General features: G+C 38.0%; 1 pseudogene, besides 2 other annotated features; it reads left to right on the forward strand.

Annotated features, from left to right (window-relative positions):
• Positions 2152-2581, forward strand: RPL35AP11 (ribosomal protein L35a pseudogene 11; annotated as a pseudogene).
• Positions 15195-16048: an enhancer, noted in NCBI's record as "OCT4-NANOG-H3K27ac hESC enhancer chr4:95303965-95304818 (GRCh37/hg19 assembly coordinates)". NCBI's record gives its function as "activates a minimal SCP1, AML or CMV promoter by ChIP-STARR-seq in primed H9 embryonic stem cells {active_cell/tissue: H9 hESC(primed)}" and the evidence as "EXISTENCE:reporter gene assay evidence [ECO:0000049][PMID:30033119]".
• Positions 16980-17481: an enhancer, noted in NCBI's record as "NANOG hESC enhancer chr4:95305750-95306251 (GRCh37/hg19 assembly coordinates)". NCBI's record gives its function as "activates a minimal SCP1, AML or CMV promoter by ChIP-STARR-seq in primed H9 embryonic stem cells {active_cell/tissue: H9 hESC(primed)}" and the evidence as "EXISTENCE:reporter gene assay evidence [ECO:0000049][PMID:30033119]".

Here is an 18044-nt window from a genome sequence, read left to right on the forward strand (position 1 = left end):
AAGAAAATTTCTCCTAATAATTTGTAATCACAAGCCTGCCCTCATATGGGTTTGTTGCCTAAATTCATAATATTTGCCCCTCTCCCAAAAAACACAATAAAAAATTTAAAGTAATTCCAGATTGTAGTGTTCTCTGAAAAAAGGTACATTAAACTCAAATAACAAATAATTCTCCCAAAGTTCCAGGGAAAATCAACTCATAAGAAAAAATTACTAAATAAAAATTAAAACAAGACACCATGAGTGAAAGTCAACGGAAACAACAAACTCCTATGTTAAAGTCTTTAAAACTATAAATGTTAGAATTGTTAACAAAGGAAAATATGAAATAAGTTTGTTTAGTATATTTAAAGATATAAAATAAATTCATTGAAAGTATGATGAAAGAGCAAATTATCAAAACTGATTAATAATTGTCAAAATTGTAATAATTGTAAAAATTGTCAAAAGAAGTGTCAAAAATGAAAAATATAATAATTGACATTAGCAAATCAATGTTTTGGTTAAATTGCAGATTGGAAATGACTGAAAGAGAATTAGTAAATTGGAAGAAAGTAGAGCTAAAGAAATTATAACAAACGTAATCTAGAGACTCAAGGATCTAGGAGATATGGAAGAACAAGATCAGAAACGTATGGAATAGATAGAGAAAATCATACCTGCATCTAATTGAAGTTCAACAAAGAGAAAGAGACTAGAGAGAAAATTTAAAGAGATAATGGCTGAAAATTTTCCAGAAATGATGACAGAAATCAATCCTCAGAGTCAGAAAGCTAACTAATCTAACAAAGAATAAATAAAAAGAAATATGCACATTATACTATAGAGGAATTTCAAAGTATCAAAAATAAGATCTTAAGAGTAGCCAGAGATAAGATACAGATCATCTTAAAATACAGATCATCTTAAAATACAGATTAACTAAGTTCTCAACTGCAAGAATAGAAATCCAATAACAGTGAAATAACATCTAGATGTTGTCAACCAGGTTGACAAGTACTCTATCCTTAAGCAGCACTTGGAAATGTGGAGTGTCTTCCTTGTCACAATGACTGGCGTGTGACTAGAAAGTTACTGTTCTTTGTGCCTCAATTTTCTTATCATTATGGGAGTAGTAGTATTTATCTCATAAGATTGTTGTGCAGATTACATGAGTTAAATATATAGAAAGCATTCATAATAGCACTTGACACATTGAAAGTGCTTGTAATGAAAAAAGGAGTTAAGACAACCAAGAATTGTCTCACCCAAATTTCTAAGAAAATCCCTCATTGGAAAAAACTGGAAACCTATCCAACTTCTTATACAACTCCAACTATTTTTCTCCATCTCACCTCATCACACCCTATCCTCCAGTCACTCTCACTTTTTCATCCAATAAATTTAGTTAGACAATGCCTAGTAGGTGCCAGGAACTATTCTTTGCATTGTTTTGTGATTACATAGGTTTAAATTTCACAAGGGCATATGTAGCAGAGACTGGCTAGATATTCACTAATTTCATTTTCTCTTCCTGGTCACATGAGATGATTACATTCCTCAGCCTCCCTTGCACTTGTGGTAGAGCTACACAACTGGGTTCTTGTTAGTGGAATGGTAGAAATCATGCACTCCACATCCAGGCCTGGCCACAAAACATCACATGCTATCGTTTCCTCAAGTGCTCTTTTTACTTATGAGCCTGCTAAGTGCGAAGTATCCAAGGGTGGACTTCTAGGAGACCAGAAGCTCTGAATCAGCATATCCAAAACACCTAATAAGACTTTGACATAAGCAAGAAATAAACCACTATTATGTTGAGCTGCTGAAAATTTTAATATGCTGACGAATGCAGCATAATTATTTCCTTTAAATCTTGTAAACCTAGAACACAGCACAGTGCCTAGTATATAGTAGATCTCTGTAAATATTTGTTAAGACAATAAAAGAAAGGAAAGAAAGAAAAATGAAAGAAAGGAAGAGAGGGAGGAAGGAAGAGAGAATCCACTAATAAATTTAACCATTCCTTATTTTATGTGAAGTGATCACTTTAACCTATCTACATCTCTAATTTTACCAGTCATGCCCTCCGTTTTGATAAGGAAGACTCCCTCCTCTGCCTCCTATTTATCTTCCTTAACTTATACACTGTAAGAAAATACAAGACCACTTTTCTCTCCCGCCATCTTGGATCCTATGGAGGCCTGCTGGGAATAGGACTTCTAAAAGGAAATATATCTGGAAGGCTGTTGTCCAAGCCATTTTGCGGTCTATAAGCGGGGTCTCTGGAACCAAAGGGAGCACACAGCTCTTCTTAAAATTGAAGGTGTTTATTCCCGAGATGAAGCAGAATTCTATTTGAGCAAGAGATGTGTTTATGTATACAAAGCAAAGAACAACACAGTGACTCCTGATGGCAAACCGAACAAAACCAGAGTAATCTGGGGAAAGGTAACTCTGGCCCACGGAAACAGTGGCATGGTTCATGCCAAATTCCAAAGCAACCTTACCGCTAAAGCTATTGGACACAGAGTCCGAGTGATGCTGCACCCCTCAAGGATTTAAACTAATGAAAACTCAATAAATGAAAGTGGATTTGTGCAAAAGGAAGGAAGGAAGGACCACTTTAGTGATAATGTTGGCTTTTTAGGTACTGTTCTTAATGGATTAAAGTAAGAGCATCTATTCAAAATTGTTCCTCAGACATTTCTTTTTCCAGAAGAAAAGCAATCCTGAGCATTTCACCATTGGAGCTGGAGTGGAAGTGATGCAGTCGGATAGGCTGGAGGCTCTGAATGAGGCAGGAGATAGTACACTAGTACTGAGACCCTGCAGATAAGATGAGCCCAGTAGTGGAATGGAAAGGACAAGCAGAGCTTTCAGAGGGTCACCTTCCCTTCCTTCCTTGCCCTCAGCCATCTCTTCCCACACACTCTCCACTGAAGTAGTACTAGGGAAATGGGTGTGAGGAATCTGAGCTAGCATAAGGGTAGGAACGGGGATAGAGGAAGAAAAGGAAGTGAGGTCTCAAGATCAGCAACTGGAAGGAAATAAGAATCTCTGTGCTCAGCACTGGCAATTTTTCCTGTGTAAGGGCTATTCGTAAATTGAGCTTAAAGACTTTTTAGGCTGTCTAATATACGTCGGAATGCTAACTTAATTCCAATACATACCATTAGGTGATCTCTAGTTAACTTTTACGGTTAAAATTGTTCCTAAGGTTTTACAAAAGGGAAAGTAAACCAAACACTTCACTTAATATTAAACCTGTCCACATTTGAAAACCACACATGTATTGTTTCATTTGTTGTTATTTTTCTTGTATTTCTCCAAGATTCCTTTGGAAATAATCACTGTTGTAAACTCACTGATGTATCCAAGGAGACAGTTAGAAGCCTAGTTTCAAACATATGGCAAAGTAAATACATAAAAATATTTGGAAATGAATTTTTCCAATCATAAACATTCTTATTAATGCTTGGGAAAGCACAAAAGACACTTTTATAGCTCTCTGGTGGTGATTTGATTTAAGACAAGAAAATTCTGGTAATCATTTTTCTCCTCCGTACTTTATAACTTTTGTTCTTTCTTATAAAGGAAAACATTTTTGTGGGACTATAGCTTAAGCTGAAGAAATGCCTATTTTTATATATCATATCACTCAAACCAATTTATATTCTGACTTTTTAAGGTGTCCCAGCATCAGAGTAATGTATAATTTTCTTTGGAACTCTTGACAAAACATTCTAATTCACAAGTCTTTAAACACTTCAAAAAGATTATATTTTCATAAATTTCATATTGTCTCTTTCCTGAAACAGCAACTTCAGTTAGGAAAATTTGCACACAGCTTTGGGAATTACCAGTTTGTAAGAAGCCCATGTGTTCACTACCACATTTCAAAATATATAGAGATGGTTTCCCTGGAATCCTCCCAGGAACTCCAGTTTTGGAACCATGAATATAGAGGACATACTTCAAGAGTGACCAGTGAGGAATAGGACTTCCTTGATGCAAGATAATACAAGAAGTTGGGAAGGAACTGGATTAGAATAGTGACTTTCAATCTCTAGCCCACCTGACTATAAGGGGTTTTAAAACTAAGTAAAAAGCCTATAATGCACATTAAATGCTACCTTTATTCAGAATAAATAAAATTATTTGCAAATATAGATATTAATAATGCTATGATTTCTGGAGATATTCTTAAAAGTAGTAAAATATCAAAGTGTTGCTGAACTCATGGTAGCTCTTGCTACTATCTGTTCCCCATCAGTTACTTTCAAGTAGAATATTGGTTTGATATCAAGTAGCTATGGTTTGAATGTATATGTCCCTTTAAAATCCACATTGAAACAATCCCTATTTGTGTGGTATTAAGAGATGAAGCCTTTTGGAAAGTGATTAAATCACAATGAATGAAATTATTGCCCTTATAAAGAGGCTTCAGAGAGCCACCTGACCCTTCCATCTCTTTCACCATGTAAGAACACAGTGAGAGGTACCATGCTGTAAGCAGACAGCGAGCCCTTACCAGACACCAAATCTGCTGGCACGTTGATCTTGGACTTCCCAGGTTCCAAGCTTTATTATTATAAATAATTTCTATTATTTATAAATTACCCAGTCTAAGGCATTTTATTATAGCAGCAGGAACAGACTAAGACAAATGTGTATCAGCCCCATTACTAAAACACAACCGGAGGAGGAGTTGGTCTGGCTGAGAACAGAGGTGTCCTGGGAGGTAAATAAATCTCTATTTCAATGGAAACAAATGGTCTTCACTAGATGTTTCCCATTTATCAATGACAGTTGTCATCCTTTCCTTCTACTGCCAATATATCTTGTTAATAGCTGCAGAGGTATGTACTGTGCTTAGTTACAGGTTCTTGTTTTTATTGACTGGAGGCCCTGCTACTCTCAGATAGACTTCTCTGATGACAATTGTCTGCACGGTTCAAATAATAAATAACCTTGCTTCAAACCCTGTCCTTGGCTCCACCAACCTACTAGAATATCCAGATGCCTCAGTTTGTACTAATGCATTTGTTGGTGTTTGCTTGAATTGTGTTTGAAGACTATTGAAACCCTTAGTTACCAGGCTTTCCTGCAAGACTTAATCTGTCTCATCACCTGCTACAGATGGAACTTGGGCCTATCCTACTCCAGTGGGAGGGTTTATTGCCATCCCTAGATTTACAGTTCCAGTAGTCAAGTGCCATACGGTGTCATAAACTGTAAGAATGGGCACCAAATGGAAATGTTCTCTAAAAGGTAATACAGTTCTTCGTTTAGAAAAAGAATGTTCCTTCCTTTCTGGAGAGTTCTAAACTGCTTTTTCTTCAATGTGCCCTCTACCTTAATTGAACTAAGCTTTCATCTTGCATATTTTGAGCCATGATAGGTTTTATTTCCATATAGGATGTTAATGAACCAGATTGTGTTAAATTTTCAAGTCTTTATCAGTAGTCTCCACACTAGGGCGCGTGAAGACTTCTCATGGGGGATGTGAACATGGAAAGTTTTAAGGGAATCAAGTTTCTTTTCTCAACTTTTAAATGTTCACTTCCTTGAAACTGATCTGCCTGAGAATATGACTGTGTTCAAGGAGTCATGCCAATTTTCCTCTCCCACCCTCCCTTTCACTATATAAAAGTGAGGTGAACTGCCCAGCCATACTGAATTTAATATGTACATTATGCCAGGGTGTAAAAATCTCTGGGAGTGCCAAAATAGAAGAAGTTCAAAATTATTGCTGTCCGTGAAGCCTCATTTAAGTAAGTTACCATAAATCAACAGTAGAACTTTATATATTTCCCTCTATTACACATGTTTCTTTGCATAGTGTTAGAAATGGGGTGTTTTGGCCCGTGTTGGAATGGAGCAGCAAGAGGGATGACTGTTTTTGTTTAATGATAATTTCTTTTCTCTCCCCTAATTATGGTCAAGAAAAATATGTTTCATGTGAGAGAGAAAGCAATAAAAACATCCAAGCACAGTGGTTCACATCTGTAATCTCAACATTTTGGGAGGCCGACACAGGCAGATCATTTGAGACCAGGAGTTTGAGACCAGCCTGGGCAACGTGGTGAAATCTTGTCTCTATAAAAATTAGCTAGGTGTGGTGGCGCACGACTGTAGTCCCAGCTACTCAGAAGGCTGAGGCAGGAGGATCACTTGAGCCTGAGAGGTGGAGGTTGCAGTAAGCTGAAATCGCACCACTGCACCTTAGCCTAGGCAACAGAGTGAGATCCTGTCTCAAACAAACAAACAAAAAATGCAATCAAAACAAAGCAAACGGAATGTCAGAAATGTATACAAAATGAAATGTCACCACAGCACCTTATTTTATCCAGTCAGCAAATTCAGTTTTTTGAACTCCTCTTCTCCAGTGATCTTTTTCTTCATCCTACCTCAGCCATCAACTTTCAGGATTATCGATTATATTTTATTAAGCCTTGTCATGTACAATAACTGCAACACCTCCAGAGTCTCTCACCACCACAGGTACTCACCCACAAAGAAATGTAACCATATCTTCCATTCCCTCCTGTTAGTAAAGATAACTATTATACTCTGATCAAAATCCAATTTCTCCATCTTGGTACCAGTCCCAACCTTTCTCTACTCAGGAACTGGGAAGAGTGAGCTATGATCACATCACTGCACTCCAGCCTGGGTGACAGAAGAAGACCCCATCTCTTTAAAAACTTTTAAAGGACTGAGAATAGCATTCCCACTCTTTTCTGCATCATCAGTGTTCACCCTCTACCAATTATTTCCTATGAGTATCAAAACATGCTGTCATTTTTCCTTAGGAATATCCTTTTAACCTCACTTCTTCAGAAAACTACAATCACTTTTTGTTCTCATTTCTAACAAGATTCCTCAAAAGAATCATCTATACTTGCTTTCCCTAATTCCTCTTTTTTTTTTTTTTTTTTTTTTTTTTTAGACAGAGTCTCACTCTGTCACCCAGGCTGGAGTGCAATGGTGCAATCTCAGCTCACTGCAACCTCTGTCTCCCGGGTTCTAGCAATTCTCCTGCCTCAGCCTCCCGAGTAGCTGGGATTACAGGTACACACCACCACACCCAGCAAATTTTTGTATTTTTAGTAGAGACGGGGTTTCGCTATGTTGGCCAGGTGAACTCCTGACCTGAAATGATCCACCCGCCTTGGCCTCCCAAAGTGCTGGGATTACAGGCATGCACCACCATGCCCAGCCCTCTTCTCCCATTCTCTTTAACTCATTATGTGCTACAAAATTAGGTTTTCACTCATCACATCACAGTTACTAAACCCAATGATCAATTTTGTCTTAGGGGATTTAATTTGGTCAATTAATCTTTCCTCCTTAATATAGAGATTTTCCATTTGACTAAACTCTTTGTTTTCTTTCTCCCTCACTGGTCTCTCTTTTTCAGGTCCTTATTTTTTTCTTCCTTTTCAATCCAACCTGAATATGATGACCTGTCACATGGCTCAGTCCTTCATATCTTCTCTACAGCCAATCCATTTGTGATCGTGTCCAATCTCATCACCTTAAATAACATAGTCCATATGCGAATGACTCTCAAATGTATATTTCTAGCCCAGTCCACTCTCCTGAACTTCAGGCTTATTATGTATTTTATTTTATACACACACACACACACACATACACACACACATTTATAAAAGCCCTTAGTCATCCTTCATCCTTTCTCTCATGTTGCACATCAAATGCATCTAGAAATCATGTGACCCACCTTCAAAAAAATTGATAATCAGACCACTGCTCATCAGTCTCTTCTGAGATATTGTCATTTCTCACTTGAATTATTCAATAAGCTCTTTAGAGGTCTCCCTAGTTCCACACTTGCATCCATACTGTATTCTCAAAGCAACCAGAATGATCCTTTCAAAATGTAGTTCAGATCATGTTATTTATCTGTTTAAAACCCTAGAGGGCCCCCTCCTCCATTCCGCTCAGAGTTAAAACCAAAGTCTTCACAGTGGCGCTCAGGGCCCTTCATTATCTGGACTCCTAATACCTCTCTGACCTCCTCTTCTGCTCTCCCATCCCTTACCACACTGCAGACACATTGGCACCCTTGAACATGCGAGGTGAGCTTCCACATTAGGACCTTTGCATTGGCAGTTCCCTTTATCTGGAATAGTCTTCTCCCACTTGCCTCATCCCCTCCCCTCTTTTAAGGCATTGCTCAGGTCTTATTAATACATTAATACTACAAACCACCTAAACCTCTCCCACTGCCTTTGCATTCCTGACTTCCTTTTTCCTATTCTACTTTTTCCTTTTGCCATAGCACATATCACCTTCTAATACACTATTTAATTTAATTATTATGCTTATTATCTGTTTCCTCTCACTAGACTGTAAGCTTTTTGAAGGCTGGATCTTGGTTTTATTTTGTTTACTGATGTATTCCAAGAATGTAGAATAGCACCTGTCTATAGAGGATGCATAGGAAATATTTGTTAAATAAGTGAATGAAAAATCCTTTAGAGAATAGGCAAGCAAATAATTTTGAAAACCGCTACTAGGAATGATTTCCAATTTCATAAGGGAACTATAAGTTCAAGTGAGACATGTCTAAATGAAAATCTTCTAACAGCAAATTTTGGGTTTGATTTTTTTTAATTTAACAATATTCAAATTGGAAACTATTTTAAGTCATTTTTTTGAAATGTATTTCTGAATAAACACTCAAAGATGCAGACTATTCTTTTATTCAGAGCAATGAGGAACTATCATCAATTCATGACCAACTTAAAATAGAACATTTTCTGTGTGTCAGCTTTTGGAAGAGAATGGAGAACTACATTGGGGAGTTTTATACTATGAGGTTATATAAATATATGTACGTATATATATATTTGCATTTTTAATCAAGAATTGATTTATTAGGCTGAGCATGGTGGCTCATGCCTGTAATCCCAGCACTTTGGGAGGGCGAGGTGAGCGGATCACTTGAGTCCAGGAGTTTGAGACCAGCCTGGGCAACATGGTATAACCTGGTTTCTGTAAAAAATACAAAAATTAGCCAGGTGTGGTGGCAGGCACCTGTAGTCCCAGCTACTCAGGGGACTGAGGTGGGAGGATCACTTGAGCCTGTGAGGTCGAGGCTGTGGTGAGCCAAGATTGTGCCACTGTACTCCAGCCTGGGTGACAGAGTGAGAGAACCTGTCTCAAAAAAAAAAAAGAAAAAAAAAAAAGAATTTACTTTATTGCCTTAGCTTTTTAAATGCCAATCCTTATTAAGTATTTTTCATTAACTATAAATTTTGTCAGTCAAGAGCCAATGCGCTACCTCTTTTTAAGAAGGAAAGCTTCCCTCCAAATAGCTAAATTTAATCATTAGAAAATCAACTGGAGAACACCTTAGGAACAATAAAATAAGACACAGCGTGGCTCTGAGAAGAATAGCATCCTGTGAGACAAACCTAACTTTTTTGGAGACCAGAATGACAGAACTGGTTAGAATAGATATAGTTTATCTTACCTTGAATTAGGATCACTACAGGAATGAAAATCATGACCCCAGAAAAAATACAGTTTAGTATGTTTGTGGTAGCCCCTTCTTTCAGTCAGTTTCTGGTCAAGACTATAAACAAATTTTCTGCACATATCGCTTTTTGTGGTGATAGGAAAATTTTTTGGTGGTGATAGCTCATGGCCATGGTTTGGAGGCATGCAAAAGAAGGAGTGAGATACACCTACCAAACTATGTTGTGGAGCAAGCTAGCACACACTAAAGCCAAGTGACACAAGCTCACAGTGAGCCATTTCTGATCTGTCTACAATGGCAAAGCAAATGATGCTACAGGAACAAACTCAGTGCAGCTACAATGCAAATCAACACTGTCCACAGACTGTATGTGTGTTGTCCCTAAAGATTGGCCTAAGCTAATGTTATTGCTCAGCGGAAATATTTTCCTAGGAAAAAGAAGCAGTCATCAAAGGTAACATTGACGTGGAAGCCAAATATTTTCTAGGATCTATGTTTAATAAGCTGTTTTTTTCATATTGTATTTGATAATCACATGAATGTAATGTGGAGCATATAAATTAAAATCATAGGTAATTTCAAATAGAAGAATAAGATATTTGCACTCTGCAATGGATATTTGGCTTAGTCAGAAAAAATAGAATTCAGTTTAATTCAATTTAGCGATAAGATTTATGATCCTAAAGTGACACAAATACAGAAGAAGAAGAAAATGCACATATTTAAGTTGAAGAATGTGTGACTTAGCTATAAAGAAAACAGCATGAAGGATACAGATAATGATATGTTAGAAAATACACCATATTATTTAAAGGTGGATATAATATATGTAGCAGAGAAAAGAAATTATTCTCAACTCTGGTACAAATATCGAAGTGTCTTGTACGCCATTTATGAGAAACATGAAAAACATATAATTTTCAGGTGTGAATTAAAATGATTAAGAGTTTGAAAATAGGTGATAGGGAGACAGGCTAAATGAATGGGATCATTATCCAGTAAAAGAGAACACTGTGGGATGACCTCAGCCATCTAATTTATAAGAGATATGCAGATGGTTCCCAGCTGTTCTCCACCTCTCCTTTGAGGACTAAACCAAAGGAAACGGATCTAAACTTTGGCTTCTGGGATTTAAGTTAAATATGAAGAATAGTTTCCTGACAGCAAGGGTTGTAATATACTGAACAAATTCTTGAGAGGCAATGTAGAATCTCCTTCGCCGTTTATCTCTTAAGAACATAAAGTGCTTTACCATCTGCTGGCAATGAGCTCACTATAGAGCTGCAGAGTAACAAAGGGCTATAACTCAAATAGGCTATAACTCCAAATCTTGTCTTTATGAGTCAATAAGTATGATCAGATGTGATATTTCCACCCAAATAGATTTCCATGGTGGTGGTTGTGTTTTTGTGTTGTTTATTTATTTATTTTTGAGAAATAAAGTCTTAGTGGTTGAGAATTTTACTCACTTCCGTACATTTTTCTTCAATACCCATAGTTCATTTTAAAATATATGTGGCTCATTTTTCCTGGTCTCTAAAAGTAATACAGCTTTGTAGGATTTTTAGACATAATTAAATATTGCCTTATTCCTCACTCAAAAGATGTTATGGGAGCTGCAGTTTTTGCCTCAGTTTTCTTTTAGCATCCTATAGCTAGAGTACTATTTCTAGGACACCTGGATCAGTATATTTTCATAGGGTGAAAATATTTCAACTGCCAATAACAGCTAGGCTTGAGACTGACTCCCAGCAATAAGAACCGTAGTGTCTCATCCTCACTTTGCATGTATTTAAGCCTTTATTTTTCTCTTGAAAGCAGAGAAGATAAAAGATATCTTATGTCACTAAGTATAAGAATTTAGCTCTGTACCTCTGCTCATCTTATCTGAGTAAATCAGACAAGGTAAGTAAGTATGAAGCTCATTGCTCACACATATGTAGACTGAAAAAAATAATAAACATTTTATGTTCAATTCTAAATTTTCTAAGAAGGCAATATATATTGGCTACAGTTGTTACTGGGTTTTTTTGTAATCAGAATTGACCAAAGTAGTTACAGTTTTTATGAGTGAGTTTTTATATAATCTATGACACTAATCAGGGACTTATTTGCTTATGCAAAAACGTCATGTTTAATGTTGGCTATAAGAACTTTCCATACCTATTACTTTATTAATGACCTTGAGAACTTAATAAGTTGCCATTTTATAAAATACTTTCCAAATCAGTGATTTGCCTAAGGTCACACAGTCATGAGAGAAGTCAGAACTAGATCTCAGAAACTCTATGGATAGAAGTTTTCCCAGAACTCCTTGTCTCAGGGAATGCATTCTCTACCCATCAGAATTTACAAAATGAATGCTTGCCTCTTTCTCCTCCCTTGCTCTTCCTTTCCCTTCCCTTCCAATCAGAAGACCACAGCATCACTCTGTGCTAATCCTGCCAAAGATACCTGAATTTAATCATAAGGAAACACTTTTTTTCAATGAAGTATGTTCTACAAAATAAATGGCCATAATATTCAAAAGTATCAAGGTCATAAAAGTAAAAAAGGGATTGGGAGTAGTTTCAGATTAAAAAATACCAAAGAGACATAACAACCAAATGCAACTTGAGTTTCTGGGGTGCAATTTTTCACTATAAATGACGTTATTAAAGTATTTTGATGTCTTAAGGAGGAAAGAAGTTCTTAGTGGATATGACTACACCTGGCACCAAAGTACACATTAGTAATACTTCCTCAGAGGTACCTAAACTCTCTTGTCATATCCCAATGGTAGGAGTCAGAATTTAACACAATGTCTCTAATCTCTGATATTAATTCTTTTTGAGAACACGTATATAAGTGAACAACCTTGGATGATATAAATAGTGTCTCTTCCAGAGCAAAGAGTAGGCATGCTTTCTGTTCACTATAAAAGATTAAGATTCACTAAGCTTAGGGCTCCTTTCCTATAACACAACTCACTGCGTGAACAGATGCCATCCGGCCCTGTTTGAGTTGCCTGGGAATTGTGTCTCAGGGAACTGACACCAAAAATGCTCATTCTCTGGCTGTTGCAATTGATAAGTAATAAACTGTCTTTCATCTCTGACCCAGGAGTCTTGTGTCTTCCATCAGCATCTATGAAACGATGGCAGGTTAACCTGTTAACTTGCAAGTAGGGTAAATCTCATACCTTTTGCAATTCTTCACAGTTCATTCCTTCACTAGTTTTATTTGAAATGTTATGCTGATATCCAGTACCATATAGACTAATTTATAATCTTAGCTACTACCAACTATGCCATATAAAATAACAGGGGAAAGGAAAAAATGAAGTAAAAATGTAATCAGTTACATACACATATGACATACACAAGGCAAGATGAAATATAACCATTACAATACTCATTCTGTAGCTGATCAAAGGCCAAAATTTGTAACTTGTTTCTCCAATATCCCTTTTATGGTCCCCTTTACCCTTGGTTGCACTTCAGAAGGTCTGAGTTCTTTATTTATCTAATGTGATGACTAAATAATACATTATGGTTTATGCAATGAAATACATGTCTCAAAATGGAAGAAACTCACATATATAAATGTTGTTGATGAAGTGACAAAAGAAGGCACATAGGGTGGTATCACTTACACTAAAACAATATATATTTAGGGATTTCATATATATGTGTATTACATATATGATATATGTATAGCAAAACTATAATGACAAAAAAAGAAGGTGACAAAAATTATAAACACGAAAAGCAGAACAATATTACCTCTGAGAAAAAAGAAAATATGTTCATTGGCCAGGCGCGGTGGCCCACGCCTGTAATCCCAGCACTTTGGGAAGCTAAGGTGGGTGGATCACCTGAGGTCAGGCATTCAAGACCAGCCTGCTTAACATGGTGAAACCCCATCTCTACTAAAAATACAAAAAATTAGCCGGGCGTGTGGGGGGTACCTGTAATCACAGCTACTTGGGAGGCTGAGGCAGCAGAATCACTTGAACCTAGGAGGCGGAGGTTGCAGTGAGCCGAGATCATGCCATTGCACTCCAGCCTGGGCAACAAGAGTGAAAATCTGTGAAAAAAAAAAAAAGAAGAAGAAGAAGAAAGAAAGAAAGAAAGAAAAAGAAAGAAAGAGAAAGAAAGAGAAAGAAAGAAGATAAGTTCACACATTCACACATTCAAGAGTTAGATAATCTTCTATTTGTTGGGCTGGGTGACATATACAGATATTTGTTTTATTAATATTTTATGATATGTGTATTTGTTGGACATATAAGTGATATTCAAAGCCTTTCTAACCTAGCCACAGAAAATCAGTGTAAAACAGCACAAGGCATCTTGGAGATACTGTGGATTCAGTTCCAGACCACCATAATAAAACAAATATTGCAATAAAGCAAGTCACATTAATTTTTTATTTCCCAGTGCATGTAAAAAATTATGTTTACACATAATGAGAATACAATATACACAGAGAACTAGAATTAAAAGTGGAGCCTGAAGATGGGATTGAATTGCTGCAATCTCATGACAAAACTTGAATGGATGAGGAGTTGCTTCTTATGGGTTAGCAAAGTGGTTTCTTGAGATGGAATCTACTCCTGGTGAAGATGCTGTGAACATTGTTGAAATGACAATAAAGGATTTAGAATATTTCATAAACTTTCCGTACACTTGAATGTATATTTAAAGTAACTCACTGAGTATCTGGTAGTTTATTTACTGTGCAATAGCCTTATGTCTAAAGAAATGTACACACCTTAATTTTAAAAATACCTTATTTTTAAAAAATGCTAACGATCATCTAAATCTTCAGTTAGTTTTTGTTGGTGGAGGGTCTTGCCTCCATGTTGATGGCTGCTGACTGATCAGGGTGGTGGTCACTGAAGGTTGGAGTGGCTGTGGCAATTACTGAAAAATAAGACAATAATGAAGTTTGCTGCATCCATTGACTCTTCCTTTCACAAAAGATTTCTCTGTAGTATGTGATACTGATGAATAGCGTTTTACCCACAGTAGAACTTCTTTCAAAATTGAAGTCATCCTCTCAAATCCTGCTACTGCTTTCTCAACTAAGTTTATGTCATATTCTAAATCCTTTATTGTCATTTCAACAATGTTCACAGCATCTTCACCAGCAGTAGTTTTCATCTCAAGAAACCACTTTGCTGATCCATAAGAAGCAACTTGTCATCCATTCAAGTTTAATTACGAGATTGCAACAACTCAGTTACATCGTCAGGCTCCACTTCTAATTCTAGTTCTCTTGCTATTTCCATCACATAGGCACTTACTTCCTCCACTGAAGCATTTAACCCCTCAAAGTCATCTGTGAAGGTTGGCATCAACCTCTTCCAAACTCCTGTTCATGTTGATATTTTGACCATTTCCGATGAATTGTGAATATTCTTAATGGGATCTAGAATCGTGACTCTTTTCCAGAAGGTTTTCAATTTACTATGCCCAGATCCATCAGAGGAATTGCTGTCTATGACAGCTATAGCTTATAAAATGTTTTTCTTATTTAATAACACTTGAAAGTTGAAATTCCTCCTTGATCTCGGACTGCAGAATGCATGTTGTGTTGGAGGAATGAGAACAATATTCAACTCCTTGTATATCTCCATGAGAGCTCTTGAGTGACCAGGTACATTGTCAATGAGCAGTAATATTTTGAAAAGTATCTTTTTTTTCTAAGTAATACGTCTCAACAATGGGCTTAAAATATTCCATAAACTATGCTGTAAACAGATGTGCTGTCATCCAGGCTTTGTTGTTTCATTTATAGAGCACAGGCAGAGTAGATTTAGCATAATTCATGCACGTCAGTGTGAAGAGACCACTAAACAGGCTTTGTGTGAGCAACAAGCCTGTTTATTTCACCTGGGTGCAGGCGGGCTGAGTCCGAAAAGAGAGTCAATGAAGAGAGATAAGGGTGGGGCCATTTTATAGGATTTGGGTAAAGGAAAATTACAGTCAAAGGGGATTTGTTCTCTGGCGGGCAGGAGTGGGGATTGAAAGGTTCTCAGTAGGGGAGCTTTTGAGCCAGGATGAGCCAGGAGAAGGAATTTCACAAGACAGTGTCATCAGTTAAGGCAGGAACAGGCCATTTTCACTTCTTTTGTGATTCTTCAGTTACTTCAGGCCATCTGGGCATATAGGTGCAAGTCACTGGGGATGCGATGGCTTGGCTTGGGCTCAGAGGCCTGACATTCCTGCCTTCTTATATTACTAAGACAAATAAAATGAAATAGTGCTACAAAATAGTGTTGAAGTGTTGGGGAGGTGAAAATTTTGGGGGGGTGGTATGGAGAGAGAGAATGGGCGATGTTTCTCAGGGCTGCTTCAAGCGGGATTAGGGGTGGCGTGGGAACCTAGAGTGGGAGAGATTAAGCTGAAGGGAGGTCTTGTGGTAAGGGGTGATATTGTGGGGCTGTTAGAAGAAACATTTGTCGTATAGAATGATTGGTGATGGCCTGGATACGGTTTTGGATGAATTGAGAAACTAAACAGAAGATACAAGGTCCAAATAAAAGGAGAAAAATGGGTATTAGAGGACTAAGAATTGGGAGGACCTAGGACATCTAATTAGAGAGTGCCTAACAAGATTCAGCATAGTCCTGCCAGCAAAGATTATTGATTTACTTTAAGAGTTAAGAGTGGCAGTTTGGGGATAGCACCAGGAGATATCAACTGTCATGACTTGGAGTAACAGTGTAAACCGGCAGTGTAAACAAGAGCAGGGCATGTATGAGTAGTTGCGAATGGTGAATAGAAGTCTGTCTAGACAGAAGATAGTAGGGATGACAAGTTTTTGGGGGCACAGTCTAAGTTGGTCTGGGGTCTGGAATGAGACTGGGGCTTAATAAAAAGGAGCATCCATACAGGAGCTCAAATGGGCTGTACCCTGTAGCATTCCAAGGACAGGCCTGAATTCTGAGAAGGGAAAGTGGTAAAAGTATTTCCAGTCCTTTTTAAGTTGGTGACTGAGCTTGGTGAGGTGTGTTTTTAAAAGACCATTAGTCTGTTCTACCTTTCCTGAAGACTGAGGTCCGTAAGGGATATAAATGTTTCACTGAATACCAAGAGCCTGAAAAAATGCTTGGCTGATTTGACTAATAAAGGCCGGTCTGCTATCAGACTGTATAGAGGTGGGAAGGCCAAACCGAGGAATTACGTCTGACAGAAGGGAAGAAATGACTGCGATGGCCTTCTTAGACCCTGTAGGAAAGGCCTCTACCCATCCAGTGAAAGTGTCTACCCAGACTAAGAGGTATTTTAGTTTTCTGACTCGGGGCATGTGAGTAAAGTCAATTTCCCAGTCCTGGGCAGGGGCAAATCCCCGAGCTTGATGTGTAGGAAAGGGAGGAGGCCTGAATAATCCCTGAGGGGTAGTAGAATAGCAGATGGAACACTGAGAAGTGATTTCCTTGAGGATAGATTTCCAGGATGGAAAGGAAATGAGAGGTTCTAAGAGACGGGCTAGCGGCTCATAACCTACATGGAAGAGGTTATGAAATGACGACAGAATAGAATGGGCATGTGAGGCTGGAAGGAGATATTTTCCTTGGTCTAAGAACCATTTGCCTTGTGTGGGAAGAGATTGATAGATGGAAGTTTCAGCGGGGGAGTAGGTGGGAGTGACTCGTGTGAAGGAGAAAAACTGGCCGTGAGGGACAGAAGTTGGAAAGCTAGCTGCTTGTCTAGCCACCTTATCAGCATAAGCGTTGCCTAGAGCAATGGGATCTGACGCCTTTTGATGGCCTTTGTAGTGAATGACTCTAGCTTTCTTTGGAAGTAAAGCGGCCATGAGCAGAGTTTTTATTAAAGAGGCATTAATGATGGAGGACCCTTGCGTGGTGAGGGAATCTCTTTCAGCCTATATAATAGCTTGGTGGTGCAGAATATAAAAGGCATATTTAGAGTCAGTATAAATATTGACGTGTAGTCCTTTTGCAAGAGTGAGGGCTTGAGTTAAGGCAACTAATTCGGCTTGCTGAGAGGTAGTGGAGTGGGGCAGAGTGGTAGCCTCAATGATAGATGTGGAAGATGCTGTAGCATAGCCTGCCTTCGCTGGTGAGTGGCGATCAGGTCTGGTGGAACTGCCATCAATAAACTAAATGTGATCAGGGTGAGGAACAGGAAAGAAGGAAATATGGGGAAATGGGGTGAATGTCAGGTGGATCAGAGAGATACAGTCATAAGGGTCAAGTGTGGTATCCAGAATAATGTGGGAGGCCGGATTGAAGTCCGTGCTGGGAAAAATGGTAATTGTGGGAGACTCAACAAAGAGTGAGTATAGCTGAAGGAGACGGGGAGCAGAAAGTATATGTGTCAGGTATGAGGAAGAAAATAGATTTTGGAAGTTATGAGAAATGTAGAGAGTGAGTTGAGCATAGTTTGTGATTTTTAGGGCCTCTAAAAGTATGAAAGCAGCGGCAGCTGCTGCATGCAGACATGAGGGCTAGGCTAAAACAGTAAGGTCAAGTTGTTTGGACAGAAGGGCTACAGGGTGCGGTCCCAGCTCTTGTGTAAGAATTCTGACCGCACTAACC

Source organism: Homo sapiens, chromosome 4 (genome assembly GCF_000001405.40).
Source record: "Homo sapiens chromosome 4, GRCh38.p14 Primary Assembly".
Lineage (NCBI taxonomy): Eukaryota > Metazoa > Chordata > Mammalia > Primates > Hominidae > Homo > Homo sapiens.